This window comes from Homo sapiens, chromosome 2 (assembly GCF_000001405.40).
Source record: "Homo sapiens chromosome 2, GRCh38.p14 Primary Assembly".
Taxonomy (NCBI): domain Eukaryota; kingdom Metazoa; phylum Chordata; class Mammalia; order Primates; family Hominidae; genus Homo; species Homo sapiens.
Window position 1 is genome coordinate 128,406,455 of NC_000002.12, and position 25,929 is coordinate 128,432,383.

The following is a 25,929-nucleotide window of genomic DNA, read 5'->3' on the forward strand; positions in this document are numbered from 1 at the left end:
GATGATCAGACAAAGGTGCTGGAATCTTCAGGACCCAGTGACTTGACTGACCGATCCCAGTATAGGGTGGAGAAAGGGAGGGGTCTAGGCTGAGGCCCAGGGCTGATGTGGGGCTGGGTGGAGGGGCGAGAGGCGATGCAGGAGGAGCTGGTGGTGAGAGCTTTCTGGGGTTAGGGGAATGGTGAGGACTTGTTTGGATTTGGAAAGGAAGACATCATGCTCTGCCTTTCCCAGGAGCAAGTGCCTCTCAGCTGCTCTGACAGCTCCTCAGCCTGCTGTTTTGCACAATATACGATTTCTTTGCATAACAGACAGAATAATCTCATTTTCTCACTGGCTACACAGCTTAGCTTTCAATCAATTATCCCCAAATACATTAAAAAAAGGGCTCCATGTCACATCTCTGCCTGCTCAGTGCTCCGTTTCCCTGTCAAGGAATTTGCAAATCAATTGCTTTAACAATACTTTCCACAAATTACCTTCGAATGCCTGTGATGTCACCCACAGTTAATGCGCTCCTGATAAATAATGCATCAGGAAATGGTGAGGGTTTTTTACCCCCGCCCTGGCACACGATAAAGGAGTCTGCCTGTTCTTGGGCCGAGCACCCTGACTTTAGCCTCTGGGGCCTGGCCAGGTGGACGGATGGGTGCTGGCGGCAGGACAGCAAGGTAGCTGGCTCTGCTGCACTGCCTGGTTTGCTGTGCAAGACCCTGCCCCTCCCTGTCCCGTAGGGTGGCACTGATGCCTGGGGATGGTCACAGATGCATTACAGTGTGGTGAGCCATAGTGGCTTCAATGGAGGAGCTCGGCCTCCGGGGTGTGGGGACGGCAGTGGCTCTCACTGTGGCGCATGGCCTGATGGGGAGAGAGCACTTTTTGGGAGGCACTGGGAAGCAGAGGGCTTTCCTAAGCTGGCCAAGCTCGCAGGCTGAGGAGCCCGTGGATCTGCATCCCTGGAATCAGCCTGTCACCATCCCACCTGCAAAGCGACTCTGGAATATCCTCTGCGCTGAGCTGGGCTGGGGACCCTGAAAGCAGGGCCTAGAAGGGCATGAGGAGTGTGGCCCTGGGGGATAGCTGTGTGTCCTGGGGCTCAGGCAGCACTGAGCTGGCCCTGGCTGAGGTGGTGGGGTGACTGGAGGGTCCCGGCCTCCATGGTCGGGGAGTTTGCAGTTCCTTCCCCGTCTACTGTGTGCACGTGTGCCTATATGTATGTGTATGCAGGCATGCATGGGCGTGTATGTGCATGTGTGTAGTCAGCTCATGAGTGAGACTGGGTGGGCAGTGCAGTAGAGACGGGGTCCTGGAAAGCCTGTCCTCTGAGGCTGTGGGCTTCGTGGCGGGGGGGACTGGGCCTGCAGGGGAGGGAGTGTGTGGGAGGGGGATTCATGGGATGTGATAGGTGTTGTTTTGCCTTTTCTTTTTTCTCTTTCTTTTTCTTTTTTTTTTTTTTTTTTTTGAGACAGAGTCTTGCTCTGTCATCAGGCTGGGGTGCAGTGGCCAGGCTGATCACGTTGGCCAGGCTAGTCTCGATCTCTTGACCTCGTGATCCACCCGCCTTGGCCTCTCAAAGTGCTGGGATGACAGGCGTGAGCCACCGCGCCCGGCCTGTTTTGCTTTTTCTATCCCACAGACTGGATGTGGGGACAGTATAAGACAATGTTCTGGTGGCTGAATCCCTTAGAAATTTCAGGGTTTTGTTTTATTGCGGGGAAGGAGGTTGGGACCACAGAATTTGCTTGCGAGAATAAAGTTATTTTTTCCTGCATGATTATTACCACTACTAGTGTCATAATAGCTATAAGTGTGTTTTGATGCAGCAAGCGAAAATCATAGGGATTCTAGAAAACCCAAATAAATTGCAGCACGTTTACAGCAGCAACTACAAACAAAGGTCTGGAAGTATCCTGAGCTCCCAGCTGTGAGGAAGTTGGATGGGGGCGGGGGCGGCCTGCATGGGCCCCACGTGGGAGACACAGGCCCTGTTATACCACATCTAGCCAGGGTCCTGCGTGGCAGGCATGTTGTGTCTAGTTTAAGCATCCCATGGCATTTCATTCAGGTCTTGGGAACACACACCTTGGGAACAAAGCCAGTCTGTCTGCAGGCTGCAAAAGAGGATGCCTGGCCAGGAAGTTGGGGAGGATTTGGGGTAGAATGTGAAGGGCGACTCCAGGGCACAGCAGTTCCTGAGGCCTCTGGGAACGGGATATCCATGTGGTGGCTGAGAGAGTGCCCAGCCTTTCTGGGTGGAGCAGAGGCAGATGGGCAAGCTTCCCTGTCCTACCCTGTTGCGTGGCTTTCCCTGGGCGTGTGTCTTTGTCTTGAGATGATAATTCCGGAGGATGCAGTTGCGTGGGCGGCGGGCAGGGGCCCTGTGGTTAGGGTGGGCGGCGGGCAGGGACCCTGTGGTTAGGGTGGGCTGTGGGGTGCTGCCCACTGTGCTGCAAACACAGGGGACTGATGGCACATGAACAGGGAGAGGTCCTGGGAGGTCCTGATGCTCGTCATGGTCAATGAAAAACTTCCTCCAAATACAGGCCTGCCAAGCTGCTTTTATTTTATGAATTCATGTTAACACATCACAGAAGTGAGTTTTTGTGGAATGTGCTTTGGGAAATACGCTCATGAGTGAGTCAGCTGCAAGAAACCATCGAGCTGTCCCTGATTTCCTGTGAGTTCCTTGGGCTGGGTCCTGGTCCTGGACAGTATGGATGGCCAGACACCAGGGAATTGGCTGGCCTCAGGGCTGACCCAGCCTCCTGGGCTCTTGCACTCAGGTCTCCTAAGGACCAGCAGGGCTAGGGAGCAGATATGTCAGGCCCTTTGTGATTGTGGTGTCCTGGTCTTTAGGCCTTCGGAGACCCAAGCAAGAGGGAAAGTGGGTAATGGGGGAGAAATAGAACATGGATTGGATGGACTCAGAGCCCATCAGGATTGTGGGGCCATGGGATTTTAGCCTCACAAAACCTGAATCCACTCTTGCGGTAGGACAGGGTCACTTGGGGGCTCATGGGGAGGAGGTAGGTGCAGTTGGTAAGTCAGAGGCGCTCTGCCCTGATATAGCCCCTCCCTAACTCCCTAAACCCATGACCAGGCACACGGCCGGCCCTGGGCTTTATTGCTCCTCTGAGACCCACATGAGCAGCCCAGGTGGCCACAGGGCTAGGGCAGTGTGAGCTCAAAGGTGAAATATCAGGTAGCAACAGGGCATCTCAAACAGCCAATGAGCTGAAGAAAGCCGCTAACCTCACCAGTCCTGAGAGGGAGGATGAGGCACTGCTGCCTCACACCCAGCAGGACTAGAGGCCTTGGCATGTCAAACGACAGTGGTGTTGGCCAAACTGTGGGGAGCAGGCCTCTCTCAAGGGGGTGCTCTTGGTGTAAGAGCAGCCCGGTGTGTTTAGAGACATTTGGACTGGGTGTGGCACAGGCCTCCATGGTCCTGCACCTGCTCTGTACTGAGACACTCCACACAGTCCCCAAAGAACTGTGAGGGTGTTCATCCAGCATTCTCTGGATGAGTGGATGAGTGACCCGTGGCAGTGCCATGGACCCCTACGCAGCAGGGAGGTGACACCTGGGCTTCTGTGAGCAGCTCACATAGGCTGGGGCTGGGTGGCAAGGTCCAGCACGGGAAAGAAATGCATGGTGCAATACTCTTTAGGTAGATTAAACTACATGGCCTGGAAGGACAGATTCCAGGAAGCCTCCACATTGCAGGAAGTCTATCTGGCGTGTGGGAGTAGATGCCTCTGAGGGAAAGGGTGGTGGGTGGGGCTGGGGATAAAGGGGAAGAAAAATGGTAAAGACCACAGCAGTGTCTTAGCCTGGGTTCCCTAGAAACCAGAGCCGGGACAAGGACTGAGTACCAGTGCTTTGTTTAGGAGGACAGGTGGGAAGGATGAATGGGAACCGGGAGGACACAGCGGTCAGGCCACAGGTGCACACTGTCAGCCACATGGGACACCTCTCGACCTGCAGTGTGGAGAGTTCCTGCCTTGGATGAGTCCATAGGAGAGAAGAAGGGAGGACGAAGGTGTCTGTGGGCTCCTCTCCTCTCCCTCCACCACCCATTTGCAAGAGGTCACCCCCATGAGGAGTCCCTTGCCTGCCCTTTTTGGCAGCATTTCACTTCTGGGTCTGCATGTGGCAGGAGGAGCCAGGGACCCCAGGAGCATGGCTGGTTGGCTACGAGCAATGGAATTGCACAGAGCAGTGGAATCGGGTGAGCTGGTGGCTGTGGGAGTGAGAGGGAGCGAGAGGTGGAAAGGCAAGAGAGCCTGAGAAGATGCCCAGGAGGGGGCTATGTCGCCTGGTGATGGTGGAGGAGGATGAGCCCAGCTCATCTTGCCTGAGAAGATGGACATGCATGTGGCTTAGATCCAAGCAGACCTGAGCGTGAGTCCACGAGCAAATTATGCAGCTGCTCTAGCCCCCTTTTCTCAGATAGAATGGAGACCATGAGCATGTCTGCCTCATGAGGGTTTAGTGATATAAAGTGCCCGTCACATGGTTGGCACTCGGCAAATGTAGCCCTTTGTGGCTAGTGGGGCAGTGGGCAGGCCTGCTGTGGGGCACCAGCCACTCAGCCACTCTGGGCAGCCAGCAGCCCCAATCTGAACTCAGGACCGTTACATTTTCCAGCTTGCCTTGTAATGAGTCTTTTTAACATTGTAATGTAGCCTTGGAATCCTGCAATAAGCTGTCCGCGTCCAGGAGAAAACCTACCTGGAGTAGTTTTGCTTCCTAATTGAGTGCATCAGTGATTTTTCTCCTTAGGTTTCTGTGTTTTGACATTTGATTACATCCAGCTTCACACTCGGAGCTCTCTGTGTACTAAGCACTAATTATTTGATGTATCCTGAAATAGAGAAAACAACATGCCACTTATTGTGTTAATTGGGATTTGTTTTACCCGCAGCAAACTTGTGCACGTAGGTTTTATTCCATATTTGCTCATTAATGCAGCCAGCCGCTCATCAGACATTTATCAAGGGCTCACTGTGAGCCAGGCGCAGCGTGGCACTCAGGTTCCAGAAGTGAGATCCGACCCTGCCCCAGGCCCCCGGATCGTGGGGACAGATAGATGGCACACAGTGGGATGAGCAAATGTGTGGACAGACCAAGTGCTGAGGGCCCTGGGAAGCTGCCGTGCATGGAGGGCCACCTGCGCTGTCACCAGGTAGGGGTGGAATTTATCAGGGTGGCAGAGCAGAGGCTGTTTGGTGGTGTGTCCTGGCAAGGTGCCCATATTTGGAGTGAAGGGTCCCTGGGGTGAGAGGAGTGGTGGGAGATGAAATTGGGGTGTTTGCTGGGACTGGATAAGATGGGCTTTGAGTGCCAGGCCCAGGTTTATTCCGCAGGATTCTAAGCAGGGGGCAAACTTGCATTTTATTTTATTTAATTTACTTATTTATTCCAAGATGGAGTCTTGCTCCGTCACCCAGGCTAGAGTGCAGTGGCGTGATCTCGGCTCACTGCAACCTCCACCTTCTGGGTTGAAGCTATTCTCCTGCCTTAGCCTCCCGAGTAGCTGGGATTACAGGTGCCCGCCACGACGCCCGGCTAATTTTTTTTTCTTTTTGTATTTTTAGTTGAGATGGGGTTTCACCATGTTGGTCAGGCTGGTCTTGAACTCCTGACCTTGTGATCCACACGCCTCGGCCTTCCAAAGTGCTGGGATTACAGGGTGAGCCACCATGCCTGGCCCACAAACTTGCATTTTAGAAAGGCCACTCTGGGGACAGCACTGGGTGGTCAGGGGAGGTGGAATAGGGAACAGGGAGACTGGTGGGAGGTGGTGATCACAGGCTGTACCAGGTCCCAGGGGCTCTGGCCAAATTGGGTGCCTTTCTGCATCAGGCTGGATGGGATGCCCCTGGGCCTGACACCCTCCAGGGCTGCCTGTCTTCTCCAAGGCTCTTGCTTACTCAGGTCCAGAATTTCCCTCCTGGGCAGTTTGCTCCTTCCGGACACTGGGCTCCCCTTCTATCATTGCAGTGTTCAAGAAAGTGGTGGGACGGGAGGGGACGGCATTGTGAACAGGTGTGCACTCTTCTGAGCTAAATGGAAGGACCGTGTCTTCTGCCATGATGCTGTGGGCCACAGGGAACCAAGGCTGGGCCCTGAGATTCTGCAGGGCAGGTGGGTCTCTGTTGCTGTCCCAGTGTTAACCCCAGACCTCAGGGAAGCTGCGGCTCCTGGTGGCCGGTGACCATCACATGCCGTGGCATTTTGTAGAGGATAGGAAAGGAAGGAAACCCTTAGACAAACCAACTGATAAAGACTGGCTTATTGAAGTGAACATTGAGCAAAAGCACTGAGGGAACTGGAGAATTAACCACAAGTTGCTACAAGGGCCCACTGAAGTCACACATACTGAGCACAGGCCAAGAACTGTGAGGTTTCCAGAGAGAATCAAAGAATCTGAGATGAGAGGAATGCAGACTGGCCACACGGGTCCAGGCACTGGTTCTGGAACCACCTGCCTACCTTCACGGTATCACCATTAATGTAGGTCACTATTCATCGGTCTCATCTATAGTGTGTCCATGCAATTCCAATGAACCCCTTGCTTAACTGTGTTAGTCCTGAGTTACAAAGCCCTTTAGATGGACACTTGGTCACCTGCACTCAAGATTATGGGACCCAGAGTGGACAAAGCCCTCTCGGGCACGGAGACCCTCACTGTCTTGTAATCTCGAGATCTGTGCACCAGAGGCAGCCCTGCAGTGAGGAAGTGCCCCACGTGGGCAATGGAACTTTTGCTTTGGTGCTGTCCCTGCTGCTCAGGAACTGAGGTCCCTTGGGCAGGTCATTGACTTTCTCTGAATGGCTGTTTCTGTTTGCTCAGCCATAAAATGGAGGCTTGGATGGACTCAGTGAGCCCTATCATCTTTGCAAACCCAGACTTACAAATTCTAGACTGTGGCCTCCTGTGCAGAGGAGATCACGTGCCCCCTTGGGCCTAGCTCAGGTGCTTAGGATGCTCTTAGCAGACTCAGGGCACCTCCTGTTTGCTCTTGTGGGGGTCTGTGTGGACAAGAGCATCCAGACCTACTTTTCTGGAAGAGCTGCCCCACAACAATAGATGACTGAGGGCAGTTCAGGGCTCTCCGGGGTGTATGTCTTCGTCAGACGTAGAACCATTGGCACAGCCTGCAGCTTCTGACTCCAGACTCAGTGCTCTTCCTTGGAACCCCAGGTCTTTCCAGCAAGAATAGAGGCTTCTGCGGCAGTCAGAGTGAAGCAGACGAGCTTAGTGCAGTGGTGAGGTAAAGGGTGCCTTGTGGGATCAGTGCAGAAAGCCTGAGGCTTCCATTCCATTCTCTCATTCCCCACTGCCATCTGTGCCTGCCATGAGCTGTGTTTACCAGACTTCCAGGATGATTAGGGAGAGTCGTTTCTCTACCTCCTGGTTCAAGGTCTGGTCCGCAGGTGGTGGAGATAAAACTTCCCTGGAAGGCTGCTGTAATAGCCAATGCAGATAGTGGCAGATTGTGCATCTTAAAATGTGATTGCAAAATCAATAAGCCAATTACAGTGGTTAAATCTTTGCCTTTTCAGAGCTGCTTGCAAAGCTGAGTTGCTCTTTGCTTCACCAGCCGGCCTGTGGCTCAGACTCCAGGGCTGTGTTAGGGGGTCGGTGGAGGCACCGTTTGAGCTCTTCTTTGGGAGCCCTGCCCCCACTTCCTGACCTCCTCTCCATGGCCCTCAGTAGAAAAGCAGTTGCTAAAAACTCTGCTTGCAAGTGTTGGAGATGGGGATGGGAGATAAGGACATTTTCCAGCAGCTGGGTCCCTTCCTATCTATCATTACATCTTAACAACCCTGTGACCTAAGCATCAGTATTATTTCCCATAGTTGTATTACTTTTCCCTTACTACATAGCAAAGCTTCCCAAAACTCAGTGGCATAAAAAAACCACCACCGTCTGTTTAGCCTATGATTCTGCTGGGTGGTTCTTTTGGTCCGGACTGGGCTAGGCTAATCTCAGCTGGGCCTGCTCATGGATCTGTAGTCAGTTGGTAGGTCAGCTGGAAGCCCATTTATCCTGAATGGCCTCATTCACAAGTCTGGGAGTGTGCTGGCTCTTGGTTGGGGCACTGAGGGGCTGGGCCATGTTGGGCCATGTGTCTCTCTTCCTCCAGCAGGCTAGCTTGGCTTGTTCACGTGGCAATGTCAGGCCTCTAAGAGCAGCAAGAATGGAAGCTGAAGGTTTCTCTTGGTCTAGACTTAATATTGGTTCAATATCACTTCTTCTATGTTCTGTTGGTCAAAGCAAACCACTGGGCCAGCCCAGAACAAGTGTTTTTTTTTTTTTTTTTCTGCAAAAAATGGTGGTCATTTTTGTGATCTACCACTTGAGGAAGATGAGGTTCAAAGACTTTCTCAGCAGCTTGCCAAGGCCATGCAATGGGAGTTGGAGCCCAACCTGTGCTTCCTCCACACTATATTTGGTGTGTGACCCCAGCAGGGGAACCTCCACTTTTAAAGTCAAGAGACTAATCCCAGAACTGTGGGAGGCCAAGGCAGGAGGGTCACTTAAGCCCAGGAATTTGACCAGTCTGGGCAGCATGCTGAGGCCTCCATCTCTACAAAATAAAAATAAAAAAAAATAAAAAAAATTAGTTGGGCTTCGTGGCACATACCTGTAGTCCCACCTTCTTTGGAGGCTGAGGCAGGAGGATCACTTGAGCCCAGGAGGTCGAGACCACAGTGAGCTGTGATTGAGCCATTGTACTCCAGCCTGGGCAACGTATTGAGACCTTGTCTCTTATAAATATATACATATATACACATATAAATACATACATACATAAAGTGAAGACAGTAATGCCCAACTCAGATAAATGAACGCATAATGTGGAGTTTGGGGCAGCAATGGCTGATGGCAGCTGGGAGTGTGGGGATGGAGGGGTTCTTAAATTGTATCAGGAGCATTCACTTCATGTGGCTGTTGAGCCTCCCTGGCTGTGGGGCTGGGCTTGAGGTAAAGAGCTTGTGTGTGTACTGGGGGCCCATCTCTCCCCAACTTTCCCCACTGCCTGCTTCCTCCACAGCTGCATTCTCATTCTTCCAGCCTCATTGTGTCATGTTGGAGTGTGTGTGTTACATCAGAAGCCATGCTCCATCCTGTTGGAAGTAATGAGGTTGAAAAAGACACATTCATTTCAAATGGATTTCTGTTGACAATGCTTACAGCTAGTATTTACTTCAGTATTTCTAAATAATATGCTGACACTGCTATTTCTTGGTTAATCAATTCTAAACATTGTCTATTGACTGCATTGGAAGCTAGTGAAGTAGCCCTCCACAGACTTCCCTGCCCTGGCCCTTCCCCCATCTTCAGTACACTCTTATCACAATTTTTGGTTAAATCAATAGCCAGTATGTACATTACTATGGCAGTGAATTGTGTTTACTGCTAAGTGAAGTAGACGATAATGTTTCCTGGACTGAATATGTGCATATTTCCCCTTTATTTAGATTTCTTTGTACCCACCTCTGTTTTTCTCAGTCTTCACCAGAGCAGTTATATATGAATCAATGTTACTTTCCAAATAGTCAAATTGCCCTTCTACCAACCCCCTTTTCTCCTGGACCCTCCCATGGGGGTTTTTTGGCTCTAGGCTGCTCCCTAGACATCCTCTCCTCATCCCAGCCAATCCCAGGGCTTGCTTGGGATGGATTCCGGGTGTCGTGTCTTCCTTTCCTGTTTCATGCCGCCATTCTGCTGAAGCATATCCTCTAGTAGCTTCCTAAGAACAGGTTCTTGGGGGATAAAATTTTAGAGTCCTTGCATATCTGAAAATGTTTCTTCCAGACTGTGAAACATGAGTCTGTGTGAAAGTGATTCATTGAGAAAATACTGCCAGAGAGTGGGGACTGCAGGGAAGGGAAGGGAGGAAGCTCAGCGGGTGTGCTTTCAGGTGCAGTGCTGGTCTCAGCTTGATGGGGGGGCCCTGGAGGGGAAAGGACACGACAGGGTTTGTCCTGCAAGGGCACTGAGATTTCACACTGCTGCCCGGGGCAGGCATTAGCTCTAGGTCCCCTGTAAGCAAGGACAGACATAAGGAGAAACCTTAACTCCAGGCACTGTCTGGGCCCGAGGGTACTGGCCTGGAGTCCCCTGCAGGCTGAGACTCTGGAAGCAGGCATGTGGCAGCAGCTGGTGGTGCAGGGCTGGAAAAGGCCGGCTGGGGGCCCTGGACCAAATACTGCCGGGGGCTGCTCTGTTCTTTGCCTTGGTTGGCAGTTTGGCAGCTATATCAGCAGAGTCCAATGCTCAGTGCAGGATACACAAATTGCAATTGCTAGAAGGACTATATAGGAGCAATTTCTAGGTGGGGCCTCTAGGAATGATTTTTCAGAACAATATAGAACTGCCCCCTAGGGAGCAGCTCCCCTCAGGCAGCCTCTGCAGCCCCATCAGCCAGGGTCTGGAGCCACTCTTACACCAGCAGCCTCTGCACCCCTGGAACCTGGGGGCTGGACCCTCTAAGCTTCCACTAGGCTCAGAGTCATAGAGAAAGAAGCCACCTCCACCACTGCCACTGCTTGGTGTTGTGCCAGGAAGCAGCTGAAGGAACCTGGGACTCGTTAAAAAAAGGCAACCCCTTCTGAATGAGGACTGACGTCCAGAAGCTGCGTGGAAACTGTCTCCTCCTATAAACAAAACAAAAGCAAAAAGACCTGCTTTCACCTCCTGCAGAACCCAATGTACATCCAAGACCCTAGCTGTGAACTGGAAATGTAGTCTTACCTGCCCAGCCCAACCTTTTTTTTTTTTTTTTCTTTTTGAGACAGAGTCTTGCTCTGTTGCCCAGGCTAGAGTGCAGTGGTGTGATCCTGACTCACTGCAATCTCCGCCTCCTGGGTTCGAGCGATTCTCCCACCTCAGCCTCCTGAGTTGCTGGGATTACAGGCATGCACCACCACGCCCGCTAATTTTTGTGTATTTAGTAGAGGCGGGGTTTTGCCATGTTGGCCAGACTGGTCTCGAACTCTTGATCTCAAGTGATCCGCCCACCTTGGCCTCCCAAAGTGCTGGGATTACAGGCGTGAGGCACCGGGCCTGGCCTGCCCAGCCTTTTTATTTTTTATTTTTATTTATTTATTTATTTATTTTTTTTATTGATCATTCTTGGGTGTTTCTCGCAGAGGGGGATTTGGCAGGGTCATAGGACAATAGTGGAGGGAAGGTCAGTAGATAAACAAGTGAACAAAGGTCTCTGGTTTTCCTAGGCAGAGGACCCTGCGGCCTTCCGCAGTGTTTGTGTCCCTGGGTACTTAAGATTAGGGAGTGGTGATGACTCTTTAACGAGCATGCTGCCTTCAAGCATCTGTTTAACAAAGCACATCTTGCACCGCCCTTAATCCATTTAACCCTGAGTGGACACAGCACATGTTTCAGAGAGCACAGGGTTGGGGATAAGGTCACAGATCAACAGGATCCCAAGGCAGAAGAATTTTTCTTAGTACAGAACAAAATGAAAAGTCTCCCATGTCTACTTCTATCCACACAGACCCGGCAACCATCCGATTTCTCAATTTTTTCCCCACTCTTCCCGCCTTTCTATTCCACAAAACCGCCATTGTCATCATGGCCCATCCCCAATGAGCCGCTGGGCACACCTCCCAGACGGGGTCGTGGCCGGGCAGAGGGGCTCCTCACTTCCCAGTAGGGGCGGCCGGGCAGAAGCGCCCCTCACCTCCTGGATGGGGCGGCTGGCCGGGCGGGGGGCTGACCCCCCCCCCCCACCCTCCCGGACGGGGCGGCTGGCCAGGCAGAGGGGTCCTCACTTCCCAGTAGGGGCGGCCGGGCAGAGGCGCCCCTCACCTCCCGGACGGGGCGGCCGGCCGGGCGGGGGGCTGACCCCCCCACCTCCCTCCCGGACAGGGCGGCTGGCCGACGCCCCCCCCGCCTCCCTCCCGGACGGGGCGGCTGGCCGGGCAGAGGGGCTCCTCACTTCCCAGTAGGGGCGGCCGGGCAGAGGCGCCCCTCACCTCCCGGACTGGGCGGCTGGCCAGGCAGGGGGCTGATCCCCCCACCTCCCTCCCGGACGGGACGGCTGGCCGTGCGGGGGGCTGACCCCCCCCACCTCCCTCCCGGACGGGGCGGCTGGCCGGGCGGAGGGCTGACCCCCCCACCTCCCTCCCGGATGGGGCGGCTGGCCGGGCGGGGGGCTGACCCCCCCACCTCCCTCCCGGACGGGGCGGCTGGCCGGGCAGAGGGGCTCCTCACTTCCCAGTAGGGGCGGCCGGGCAGAGGCGCCCCTCACCTCCCGGACGGGTTGGCTGGCCAGGCGGGGGGCTGATCCCCCCACCTCCCTCCCGGACGGGGCGGCTGGCCAGGCGGGGGGCTGATCCCCCCACCTCCCTCCCGGACTGGGCGGCTGGCCGGGCAGGGGGCTGACCCCCCCACCTCCCTCCCGGACGGGGCGGCTGGCCGGGCAGAGGGGTCCTCACTTCCCAGTAGGGGCGGCTGGGCAGAGGCGCCCCTCACCTCCCGGACGGGGCGGCTGGCCAGGTGGGGAGCTGATCCCCCCACCTCCCTCCCGGACTGGGCGGCTGGCCGGGCAGGGGGCTGACCCCCCCACCTCCCTCCCGGACGGGGCGGCTGGCCGGGCAGAGGGGTCCTCACTTCCCAGTAGGGGCGGCCGGGCAGAGGCGCCCCTCACCTCCCGGACGGGGCGGCCGGCCGGGCGGGGGGCTGACCCCCCACCTCCCTCCCGGACGGGGCGGCTGGCCGGGCAGAGGGGCTCCTCACTTCCCAGTAGGGGCGGCCGGGCAGAGGCGCCCCTCACCTCCCGGACTGGGCGGCTGGCCGGGCGGGGGGCTGACCCCCCCACCTCCCTCCTGGACGGGGCGACTGGCCGGGCAGAGGGGCTCCTCACTTCCCAGTAGGGGCGGCCGGGCCCAGGAGCCCCTCACCTCCCGGACGGGGCGGTGCCCAGCCTTTTTAAATAGGAGGGTAAATTGGAGGTTGGGCAAGCAATACAAATACCCTACAGCTGGGTATGGAATTCCACATTCAACAACAACATTTTTTTTTTCCTTGGGAATTTTGAAGGTGCTGCTCCACTATGTTCTAGCTTCTGGGTTAACTGCAGAAAAATCTAACTCCACTCTAATTCCTTTATAAGCGACTTTCTTTCCACTGCCCCCACTTCACCCCACCAAAGCTCTGAGGATCTACTCTGTTACCCTGACATTTGGAAATGTTACAGTGATGTACGTTGGTTTTTCTTGTCTTTTTTTTGTTGTTTTTGTTGCACTGGCCATGCAATGATTGCAAACTCATGAGTTGGGAAAGGTTTAATAGCATTTATTGATAATCTCCTCATCTTTGTCATTCTCTATGTCTGGATTATCTCTTAGATAGCAGATCTTTTGAATCGGCCCTTTAAGCTTCTTACTTTTCTATTTTCCATCTTTTTTTGTTCTACTTTGTGTATTTTTTGTTCTACTTTTTGTCTTTTTGTTCTACTTACTTCAGCCATTATAATTTTAATTCCCAAGAGTTCTTTGTGCATCTGTTACTTTTTCACAGAACTCTATTCTTGTTCTGTGTCTGCAATATCTTTCTGACTTTATTTTTTCCTCCCTTTCCCCCCGATTGCTTTAGTTTCTTTTTTTCCCTGTTGGAGGATTTCCTCAAATGTTTGGTGACTGTTGGCTGCCAATTTGTATTTAAGGACAAAGCACTAAAAATGAGTAGGGAGCTTTTGGGTATGAGTGGAACCTTGCCGTATAGTGAACAGGTGATGATGGGAACTTATCCTCGGGGACCCCAAACATGAAGCCTTGGAGTCTCGTCTGCACAACAGCCCTTGTATGTACTTTCTTGGGGTAGGAGCCAGGAGTGGTCCAGGAGGTTGTGGTTTCCCCATTTTGAGTGCAGACGTCATCATCCTCCACGTCTCTCTGCACATCAGGCCTTCCCTCCACTATACTTGCGGTCTCAGTGAGGAGTGAGGGTCCTTGAGTGTCTAGTGCCATTATCACTGAATGTTAGTATTCCCCACAGTTCATGTGCTGGAAACTTAATCCCCAATACTATAATGCTGAGAGGTGAGATCTCTAAGAGGTGATTAATAGACCCAAAAGACGCAGAGCTCTCAGGAATGGATTAATGTCCCTATCAAGGGAGTGCGTTCCTTACTGAGAGAGTGTTTTTTTAAATAAGAGTTTGGTCCTCTCTTGCTCTCTCTCTGTCTCTGTCTCTCTTGCCCTCTTGTCTTCTGTCATGGGATGACATAGCACAAAGGTTTTAACTAGATGCTGGCGCCTTGATGTCGGACTTCCCAGTCTCCAGAATTGTGAGAAATACATTTCTGTTCTTTATAAATTACCCAGGCTGTGGTAGTCTGTTTTAGCAGCACAAAACAGACGAAGACACGAACTTTTGCCAGTACCAGGATTTCCGCCCCCAGGCCAGCCCAGGCTGCATCTGTTGTCCTGGTATAATTATTAATAGCACCCCTCCCCAGATTGTCTTGGCTGGAATAATACATTTTGTGGCCCACGCTTCCTGCTGCCCCTCAGGTGTGCTCTGGGCTCCCCTCTCCTGGGCCCAGAGGGTGGCTTGGGGCCAGGGATCACTTCCTCTTGGCATTGCCTCTGTGCCTCACTGAGGGCAGCTGCCTGGGCTCTCCAGCTCAGTTACTCTCCTCCATCCATTTTCTAGATTCCAAAATGTATTGCATTCTTGGATTTGCTGCTGTCTTCTCTCCCATTCTCTCAGTCCTTATGAGCTTATATATATATATTTAAATCTATTGATATCATTTTAGTGGTGTGTTGTGAGAGAGAGCTGACAATGCATGTGATTGATCTTCCCTGTGTATGTGTGAGTCTGGGGTCATGCACGACCAGTTGTAAGAATTGTAGTGCTCCCGCTCACCCCAGCTGTGGCCGCTCAGAAGTTTACCTCACACGTGTTTTCTGTGTGCTGTTGTGTGCGGTTTGCTGGCTCCCGAGGCATTTACAACCCATGAGGTGTTTGTGGATGCCTCCTACGCACCTGGCAGTATGCTGGCGAAGGGCATGGGGCACTGGGCAAGATGGTAACTCCTGCCCATGGGGGGCTTATGTTCTGTGGAGGACAGCAGGTCTTGGGCGGTAGTGCCAAGGCAGGTAACACACTGGCTTGAGATAAGCCTGCTGGGGCTAGACACTGTTAGGGGTGCAAGGCTTAAAAGGATGGCTTCAGCAACAGGAATTCTGAAGCTTTGTGAAAAAGAAAGTAGTCTGATGTCCCTCAAAGCCTCCTCCCTTTTCTTCTTACCCTGCAGTGGGCCAGAGATGCCAAAGGGGCCACCTCCTGCCTCCTCAGGAAAATCTACAGCAGCTTTTGATGAGCTGGTCAGGGATGGTTCTAGTTCATATCAATGCAGGACTTTTCTTGGCCCCTTCGCCAGACTCGCGGCAGGGGTGCCTGGTCTACTCGGCTCGCTGTTCTCAGCCCCTTGCAGGAGGGAGCACTTGAGCAAGTGAGTGCAGGATCCAGCCGGCCACTCCACTGACACAGGAGCAAGCTCTGTGCAGGGCCCGCAGCCAGACCAGGTGTGTGGCTTCGAGGGGAATGCAGCAGCGCCCAGACAAGGGTAGCCATGACCCTGAAGCCCCAGAGAGGGTATTAGCATGCTAATTAGCTCTTTTAGTTCTGCCATCCACAGCCCGATGGATGGTGGTGCGTTAGCAGCTCAGTCAGCCCCTTGCCCCATCTCATGGGGCAGCTGTCCTCCACTGGTGAGGGCATAGGGCCAGTGTGACAGCCTCTCCGGGTACCCGCACTCGGTAGGTCCTGAGCTCTTGTCCAGCATCCAAGAAGAATGAGGTCACGTTTGATGATTGAAGGATGGTGAGGGTGGAGAATTTTATTGAGTGATGAAAACAGCTCTCAGTGGAGAGGGGAGCTAGAGAGGGGATGGGAAGGGCAGGTCATCTTCTCCCAAAGTCAGGAGGTCTCCTCCCCAAAGTCAGGCTGTCTTCCCTCTACTGACTGAGTCTAGGGTATTTATAGGTACCACATAGGGGCCGGTGGGCCACAGGTAGTATTGGAAAAGGCAACATTCGATTGGTTAAAAGGCATTATTCAGAAGGAACCAACTGGGAGAGAGCAGGCAAACAGGAATAGAAGTTCTCACTCTGGTCTGTGGGTTTCAGACTGTTTTTGGCTTGAATGTCGGGTTTCACTGGGGACCTGCCCCTGTCTGCCTAGGATTTCTCTCCTTCCTGCTTCTATTAATATGCTCTTGGAGCATAGTGAGAATTTTCTTTCGTTGAGTCAGATTTGCTTAAGGCATGATGAGAACATGGTGGTGGAGCCGCTGGCACTTCTCCTAGTGTCTAAGGAGAAAGAATTGAGTTCAAGGCAGATCCTCCTCTGGCCCCAGCAGATCAAGTGTGACCCAATTTCATTCACTTCAGATGAGTTCCTTGAGCCTTCGTTGCACATTGCCCTGGATTAGTTTTCTGTGCTGTGTAACAAATCGCCAGGACACAGCAGCTTAAAGAAACACCTATTTTTTTGCTCCTCCTTCTGTAAGTCAAAAGTCCAGCTTGCTGTGGCTGAGCATCCTGCTCAGGGAATCACGATGGGAGAATGAAGGTTTTGATTGGACTGAGTCCTCTTCTGGAGGCTGGGGGCGGGGTGGGAAAACTCTTCCTAGCTCATTCTTTGTTGCCAGGACTCGGTTCTTTGTGGTTGCAGGACTAAGGTGCTGTTCCCTTGCTGCTGTCAGCTGGGGCTGCTCTCAGCTTCTGAAGGCTGCTGCACCGTTTGCCAGGTGGCCTGTCTGTCTTCAGGCCAGCAAAGGCACAGAGAGTCCTTCTCATGCTTCCAAGCTCTGACTTGCTCTTCTGTCGCTAGCAGAGGAAGGACACTCTCTACTTTAAAGGGCTCATGCAGGGGCTGGGCGTGGTGGCTCATGCCTGTAATCCCAGCACCTTGGGAGGCCGAGGAGGGTGAATCACAAGGTCAGGAGTTTGAGACCAATTTGGCCAATATGGTGAAACCCCATCTCTACTAAAAATACAAAAATTAGCTGGGTGAGGTGGTGCGAGCCTGTAGTTCCAGCTACTTGGGAGGCTGAGGCAGAAGAATCGCTTGAACTCGGGAGGCGGCGGTTGCAGTGAGACTGCGCCACTGCACTCCAGCCTGGGCAGCAGAGGGAGACTCCATCTCAATAAATAAATAAATAAATGGCTCATGCAATCAGGTCAGGCCCACCAGAACCATCTCCCAATCTTAGAGTCAGTGTGTCACATGATAGAACTTAATCTCAGGAGCAAAGTCCATCATATTCTTAGTCTCAGGATTATGCAGGATGTGCACTCTTGGGAGTTGAAAATCTGAATGGCTACATGAGTTCTGGTCACCACATGCCTTGAGCTAGATTCCATGTGGGGCAGGGACTTGGTCTGGGCCCTTTGAGAATGTGCTGTGTCCAGGGACATGAGACCAACACAGGTGAACTCAGCCTGGGATATGGAGGGAGTGTCTGGAGAGCTGTCATGAACTAGCTGGGAGAGCTCTCTCCCTCTCCCTGGGGCTCAGCATGTAAATGGCTAAATTGGGATGGACAAACTGGCCAACTGTGATTGCTTGGTAGTGGCTGTTTGGGGTGCTCTATTGAGCCTATGAGGTTAGCCTGGGCCCTGGCAGGGAAGCATGTGGTGATTGATTAGCTATGTCTGTCAAGGACATTGGGTGGGAGGCCAATCGTTCTCTTGTCATCTATTTACTGAGCCTGGAATCAGTGACTTTTCAGCCTTTTCAGTTCATGTATTCAGCACAGAATCACTGATGCCTCCTCTGTGCCGGGAGAATTCTTTAGAGGAGCAAGGGTATGTGACCCAGTGCTCAGATGCATGTTCTCCATGGAGTTTCAGGGGGCCACCATGTCTGTGCTGAGTTATCAGGGAGGCTTTTGGGGGTGGGGTGGGATAGAGCTTTGACTGGACTATGGGGGGTGGAGCAACAGGGGCTCAAGACCGGGATGCTGGGGTGAAAGGAAAGGAAGGCAGAAAATGAACATTCCTGATGCTGATGCCCAGGGCATCCATGCTACCCGTAGCTCACATCCATCTTACCCTGCTGGATGGATGGCATATTCCTACCTAATGAGTAAGAAACCTGAGGCTCACTGAATGTAAGTTGCTTACCTGAGACCACACAGTGGGCAGAACCATAAAAAAAGCCTTTGGCCCTTTAACAGTATTAAGCATTGGGATGCCGGGTGAAGGGCAGGGAGAGCAAGAGAGAGCCCTGCCTCCTTCCTCCATCCCCCTCCTGACTTGACAGTCATTTACCCACTGACCGATAATCCCCCTTGAGGCAGAGAGGATGGGGCCTGGTGTGTATTTGCCACCTATCAGCGATAAAACACCCCCTTTGTACAGAGGAAGTTGATAGTGGAAGGGTCAGGCTGGTTGCTTCTGGGTTTGATTCCTAATCACGTTTTAAATCCCTGGTGCCTTGTGAAATAAACATGATTAACTCCAGGAGCTGGCTCGCCAAGCCTGGCAGAGAGGAGTGGCCCAGAGCACCGGGGGACAGCTAATTTGATCAGAGGTTGTGATTTCCTCCTCTTGCCTCAGTGTCCAGGGCAGATAAAATGAAGGGAGGGCGGCGCTGCTTAATTAACCCTGTAATTCTTGCACGGGCTAATTAGCATATAGATGAGGGTGCCTCTCCAGCCTGTTTCTGGCAGGCCTCCTGTCTTTGTGAGGGGTGCGGGCTGCTCCCTGGGCGGCGGCACAGGCCCAACACTTCTGTTTTCTTTTTATTTACTTATTTATTTTTAATTTTTTTGAGGTAAGAGCATGTATCATGAGACTTCTCCTCTTAACAGGATTTTGGGTGCAACCGTGCTCTGAGGTCTCCAGAACGCACTCCTCTTGCTGGCCTGGAGCAGGATTAGTTCCTCCCTACGCCCCTCCCACAGCCCCTGGCTGCCACTCTGTGATTCTATGAATTTGACCCTGGTAGGCCCCTCATTGAGGTGGAATCATGCAGGATTTGTTTCTTCTGAGCCGTGTTCTAGTCTTATACCAGTCCTGACAGAATTTGCTCTAAAGGTCAGAGTGCTGGCCAGCTCCCCGAGATGGGGGCAACAGGAGGGGAATGGGGGCGGGAGTGGATCTTGCTGACCCAAGAAAGAGGGTCTGTGAATTTTGACACAAACCCTAGACCAGGGCTTTAGGATAAGATTGCCAGGGGCTACTTGGTTTTCTGGTTCTGGCATTCAGGTTCCTCCAGGGTGGATTCTCCTACCTTGGGGTCTCCACCAGCCAGTCCTCCTGGGCCATGCTCCGAGCTGGCTGTCAAGAGTGCTCAGGAGGAGGGGTCCTCGGACATGAACCGACTCAGCTATGCATAGAAAGGTGGTTTTCTCTGCTTTGGCTTTTCTGGAGACGCCTCCGTTACCTCTCCAGCTCCCTTGTTCAGGTTGCTGTGTTCAAAGCTTGGGGAATCTCGGAAGCTTCCCTCCTGGAGCTTGTTTGTGGCATCACCCGTCCGCATTCCCATCTGGTGACCAGGCTCTCGGAATACAAAGCCTAGCTATTTGTTTTGGTGGGTTGGAGGTCTCCCCCTGAGGGCCTGGCAGAGGCACTTCAGCATGGCACAGCATGGGGTGGGGTGACAGTTGGAGCCCCAGGCCTGGCAGAGGCAGGAGCACTGTGAGCCTCACTCATCCCACCCAGCCCTCAGCCCTTCCCAGCCTCCCTGGGAGGTCCACCCGCACCCTGTCCAGTTCTCACCCTGCTTTTCCTGACAGCTCTGGGAGTTCTGCCCACTGCAGGATGTGGACCTTTGACTGATGAGAGCAGTATTTGTTTAACAGATTCTGGATTTGAGCTCAGTCTGGGCTGAGGGTGTGCATGTGTATGGGTGTAAGTGTGCCCTGATGCACACAAGCATCCACAAAGGAGGCGATGATCCCGCCTGGCACCCACTTGGCTTCTCCTAGACCCACTGGAGCAGAAGGAGCACTCCCCAGGGAACAGAACTGCCAGCCCAGGGACGCTGACACCCTCCTCCCATCCTCCCCACACTCCATCCCCTGACCACTCTCCTTTTGGGGTTATCGCTTACATGAATGTGGCATGGCGTTTTATTGGTAACAACAATAATATTTATTGGCCCCAAGTTTCTCATTTGTGCAATGGGGATGAGGATACCCACTTTATAGATGCTACCTCTCATCCTGACAAGAAGAACCTCACAGCGGGGGACTGTTTCCCCATTTTACAGATAAGGCTGTCGGGCTGAGTGGCCACCGCTTGCTTGAGAAGCCAGAGCTGGGAACAGGGTCTGAAGTCAAATACAGATCTATGGGGCGCTGAGCTTCCTGTGCCCCCAGCAGGAGGAGAGGATGGGGGGCTTCCATGCAGGGCCTGGCAAGGGGTGTGTGTGTGTGTGTGTGTGTGTGTGTGTGTGTGTGTGTGTGCAGCTGTGTGCACATGTGTGTGCACATGCGTGTGTGTGTGCTCATGCATGTGTGTGCACGTGGTCCATCGCCAGCAGTCTGGCAGGGATGTTCTGTGCAGGATGTGACAGTCTCACCAGCTAAGGAAGGGCCCGCTCATGCTTTCACTTGTCATGGTGGGAGTGGGGTGTGTAGAGCTTACAAGTAGCCAGACATTTTTTAAATTGATTTTTTTTGAGATAACTGTAAAACCATATGAAGTTTTAAGAAATAATAATGACCCCTTGTGGCCTTTACCTGGTTTCCTCCAGGGGTAACATTTTGCAAAGCTCTAGTATGATATCACAAACTGCATCTGGACATTGCTACAATCCACTGATGTTAATTCCAATCTCCCAGTTTTACTTGTGTGTGTGTGTGTGTGTGTGTGTGTGTGAAGGGTAGGAGGGATTCTGGCCAGCTGAAGGGAAATATATGACTGTAAGAGGTGGTAACACACATCAAGCTTTATTGGGCAGCGCTGGGACAGGATTGCAGGTAGGGGAAGTCCTTCCTGACAGATGTCTGTCCAGAGGCAATAGGAGAAATCCCTACCCAGAAGGGAAGGAGGGTAAGGGACCTCCTAAGAGAGAGGGGTCGGAGAGGCTGTCTGTGTTTAAGTGACGTCCTGCAGAGTCTCTGGGGGGCAGCAGCAGCTGGGACCTTATCAATAGGGAACAGCGGGGGTGAGGTTTTGCGGGAGATGCAAAACAGGCAATGTCTAAATGGCTAAACATTTGCCATTTGTAGGGCCTATTTTTGAAATAAAAGCATGTGTAAAATTTGAGTTTGGCACCAGTGAGCTTTAGAGCTACCAGGTCTCAGCCTGCAGAAACTAAATAATGTAGGGTTCAACACCCAGTGGTAGTCTTTGGCTCATCTATATAACTCTGTGTGCATGTGTGTGCATGTTCGTGTGTGTGTGTGTCTGCACGCATGCACACTTGTCTGTCATGGCTTTCAAGCTAAGAAACTTCCAGAAAGTAAAACAGCAACTTTTAATGCTAAAAAATTAAAATATATTCCCATTCCTTCCCATGAGTTTTTTTGTATAGGTTCATGGATCTTCCACCACAATCAGGTTGCTGGACAGTTTCAACACCGCCAAGCTCCCACTTGTTGGTATTTTATAACTCATCACTAGCTCCTTTTACCCCTGGACCTAATCCCTAGCAGCCACGAATCTGTTCTCCATTTCTAAAGTACTGCTGTTTCAAAACTGTTGTGTAAATGGAACTATGCAACCATCTGGGATTGGCTTTTCTTGTTCAGTAGGATCCCCTAGGAGATTCAACCATGCTGTGTGCATGGAGTTTGTTTGAGAAGTGTTCCATAGCATGCATGCATGGTCATTTGGTTAACACTCACCTGTTGAAGGACATCTGGGCTGAATCCAGATTTTGGGTCTTACAAATAAAGCTGCTATGAACATTGCGTATATGTTTTTGTGTGAATGGAAGTTTTCATTTCTCTAGGATAGTGCCCAGGGTCATACAGTAGTTACATGTTTAACTTTTTAAAGAAACTGCCTAATTGTTTTCTGGAGTGGCTTTATTTACCATTTGACATTCCCAAGAGCATGAGTGACCCGGTTCTCCACATCCTCCCAAGCTTTTGCTATTGTCGCTATTTTTTACTTTAGCCACTCTGATAGGTATATAGTGATAATCTTGTGGTTTTAATTTGCATTTCCTTAGTGGCTAATGACATCAGCTGTCTTTTCATGTACTTATCAGTCATTTGTATACTCTGTTTAATGAAATGTCTTATGTTATTTGCTCATTCTCTGACTGAATTTTTTTTTAAGTATTGAGTTTTGATAGTCTCTCTATGTTCTAGATACTTGCCCTTTCTCAGATATGTGGTTTGCGGATATTTTCTTGCCGTCTGCAGCCTGTCTTTTCATCTTCTTTATGTGTGCTTTCACAGAACAAAGTTTTAAATTGTGGTGAGGTCTAATTTATCAGTTTTTCTTTTATGGATGATGCTTTGGGTGTCAAGTCTAAGAATTCATTGCCTAGCCCTAGATTCTGAAGATTTTCTATCATGTTTCTCCTGAAAGTTTTATTGAGTTGTTTTACGTTTAAGTCCATGATCCATTTGTTGTTGTTTTGTTTGTTTGTTGGTTTTTGCTTTTGGAAAAGACTATCCTTCCATTGAATAGATTTCACACTTTTGTCAAACATCACTTGTGCATATTTGTGTGGGTCTATTTCTGGGTTCTCTATTCTGTTCTGTTGATCTATGCGTCTATCCCTGCACAATGCCACAGTGTCTTGTTTACCGTAGCTTTAATATCAAGTTACTCTCACTTTAGTTTTTCTTATTTCAAGATTGTTTACTATTCTAGTTCCTGTGTCTTTCCACATACATTTTAGAATAAATTTGTCTGCATTAAACCTTGCTGGGATTTTGATATCAATTACATTAAATCTATCAAACAATTTGAGAAATAATTGGCATCTTTACTATTTTAAGTCTTCCAATCCATGAACATGGAATGTCTCTTCATTTAAGTCTTCTTTGATTCCTTTCATCAGTATTTCATCCTGTAGATTCTGTAAATGTTTCATTAATTGCATGTCTAAGTATTCCATTTTCTTTGGAGTAACTGTAAATGGTATTGTTTTAAATTTTGCTTTCTGGACTTCACTGTTAGCGTATAGAAATGTGATTGATTTTTGTGTGTTCATCTTGTATCCTGTGATTTTGCTGAACTCACTTGTTAATTCTAGGAGGTTCTGTGTGTGGTGTAGATTCCATGAGATTTTCCAAGTAGACAATTATGTCATCTTCAAATATAGGTGGTTTTATTTCTTTCTTTCTGAACTTTTTGCTTTTTATTTCTTTTTCTTGCCTTATTGTAGTGGCTAGAACTTCTAGTTAGTACCATATTGAATAACAGTGGTGAGAATGAATATCTTTGCTTTACTCCTGATTTTAGGGAGAAAACATCTGGGTTTTCACCGTTAAGTATAATGTTAGCTATAGTTTTTGGGGTAGATATTCTTTAACAAGTTGAGGTAATTCCCCTCAATTCCTAATTTTCTAAGAGATTATAAAAAATTATGAATGGGTATTAGGATTTTGTCAAATGCTTTTTCTGCACCTATTGATATTATTATGTAATTGTTCTTCTTTAGTTTGTTGATATGGTAAGTTACATAGATGAAATTTCAAATGTTGAATCAGTTTTGCATCCATGAAGTAAATTCCATTTGGTCATGGTGTACAATTCTTTTTATACATTGTTGGATTTGTTTTTAGTTTTGTTGAGAAATTTTGCATCTACATCCATGAGAGATATTGAATTACAGTTTTCTGTTTGATTTTGGTATCAGGATAATTCTGGTCTCATGAAATGAGTTGGGAAGTATTCCCTCCTTTTCTGTTTTCTGGAAGAGATTCGTACAATTGATGTTAATTCTTTAAATGTTTGACCACATTCCCTAGTGAAATAATCTGGTTCTGGATATTTCTTTTTTGAGACACTTTAAAAGATGAATTCAATTTCTTTGATGATTATAGAGCTATTGAGATTGTCTATTTTGTCTGAGTGAGTTTTGGTACTTTATTGTTTTCGATTGGTCCATTTCTTCTACGTTGTCAGATCTCTGAGTGTCAAGTTGTTCATAGTACTCCGTTATTATCTTTTTCATGACTGTAGGATCTGTGGTGATATTGATGATTTGTGTCTTCACTCCTTTTTGTTGGTCTTGCTAGAGGTTTATTAATTTCATTTTTTTAAGAATTGATTTTTTGTTTCATTCATTTTTCTAGTGTTTTTCTATGTTTCATTTCATTGACTTCTATTCTTTATTTCCTTCCTTGTGCTCACTTTGAGTTTATTTTGCTCTTATTTTGCTAGTTTCTTGAGGGAAGAAACTTAGGTTATTAATTTGAGTTTATCGATTAGGTTATTTCTAACATGTTATAAATAATAAATACAAATACAAATTGTGCTAATGTTATAAAGAATAAATACAAATACAAATTGTGCTATAAAATTTCCTCTCAGCATTGCTTTAGCCACGTCACACAAATACATTTTAAAAATTGCCTTTGAGACTTCCTCTTTGACTCATATTGTTTAGAAGTGTGTCGTTTAATTTCCATGTGTACAAAGATTTTCTTATGTTTTTGTTATTGATTTCATTATGGTCAAAGAGCACACTCTGTATTATTTTAATTCTCTTAAACTTGTTAAGATTTGTTTTATGGATCAGGATATGGCCTAACTTGGTGAATGTTTCATTTGGCTGCTTAGAAAATGTGTATTCTGCTACATTTGGATGCAGTATTCTACACATGTCAATTAGATCTTGTTAGTTGATTACATTGTTCACAATACTATATCTTTGCTGATTTTCTGTCTAGTAGTTCTATCAGTTGCTGAAAGGGGGATGTTATGTCTCCAGCTATAATTGTGGCTTTATCTATTTTATCTTTTAGCTCTATCAGTTTTTGCTTTATGTATTTTAAGGCTCTGTTGTGTCGTATATATTTGTTTAGGATCATTGTATCTTCCTGATGGTTTGATCCTTTTCTCATTATGCAATATCTTTTTTTTTTTTTGCCTCTAGAAATTCCTTTTCTCTGAGGTATACTTTGTCTGTTATTATTACAGCCACTCCCTTTAAAAAATTAATGTTTGCATGGTATGTCTTTTTCCAAGCTTTTACTCTCAACCTGTGTACGTCATTGAATTTGAGGAGAGTTTTTCATAAGCAGCATATAATTGGTTATTTTTCGTAAAAACTACTGCCTCAATCTCTATCTTTTGGTTGGAGTATTTAGACCATTTACATTTAAGGTAATATTGTGATATTAATACTTAAGTTTAACATTTAATGCACTGTTTTCTATTTGTATTCTCCAGTTTTAGCTCCTCTTTTTCCCTTGTCTTGCCTTTGGACAGGTTATTTGAGCACATTTTAGGATTCAATTTGACTTACATATAGTGCTTTTTTGGGACTATATCTGTATAGTTTTTTAGTGCTTGCTTTGATATTATAATATACATGTGTGACTTATAACAATAGTCTATCGGTGTCAACATCTTACCACTTTGAATCAAGTGTAGAAACCTCACTTACATTTAGGTCCTTTTATCTTCCCCACACTAAATAGAATTGTCTTGGGTGTAAAATGGTGTTATAATTTTTGTTTCAATCATTAAATATGATTTATACAATCCATGAGAAAAAGGACAGTCTTTTATAACTATCCATATTTTTGCCCTTTCTATGTTTCCTTCTTTATTCCTTGTGCTCCAAAATTCCTTCTTTTATCACTTATCTGTTTGAAGAACTTCCTTTACCCAATCTGTAATGATAGGTCTATTACAATAAGTTCTTTTGGTTATCCTTCTGCTAAGAATGTTTTAATTTCTCCTTCATTCCTGAAGTATAGTTTAATTGAACATAGAATTCATGGTTGACAT

General features: G+C 49.3%; 1 long non-coding RNA gene across 1 annotated transcript in view, besides 2 other annotated features; it reads left to right on the plus strand.

Moving 5' to 3' along the window:
- LOC105373611 (uncharacterized) overlaps positions 1-25,929 on the plus strand; it is a 241,632-nt gene that overhangs the window by 3,852 nt on the left and 211,851 nt on the right. The gene's annotated exons all lie outside the window — the stretch shown is intronic.
- Positions 1,645-2,642: an enhancer, noted in NCBI's record as "H3K4me1 hESC enhancer chr2:129165673-129166670 (GRCh37/hg19 assembly coordinates)". NCBI's record gives its function as "activates a minimal SCP1, AML or CMV promoter by ChIP-STARR-seq in primed H9 embryonic stem cells {active_cell/tissue: H9 hESC(primed)}" and the evidence as "EXISTENCE:reporter gene assay evidence [ECO:0000049][PMID:30033119]".
- Positions 2,643-3,638: an enhancer, noted in NCBI's record as "H3K4me1 hESC enhancer chr2:129166671-129167666 (GRCh37/hg19 assembly coordinates)". NCBI's record gives its function as "activates a minimal SCP1, AML or CMV promoter by ChIP-STARR-seq in primed H9 embryonic stem cells {active_cell/tissue: H9 hESC(primed)}" and the evidence as "EXISTENCE:reporter gene assay evidence [ECO:0000049][PMID:30033119]".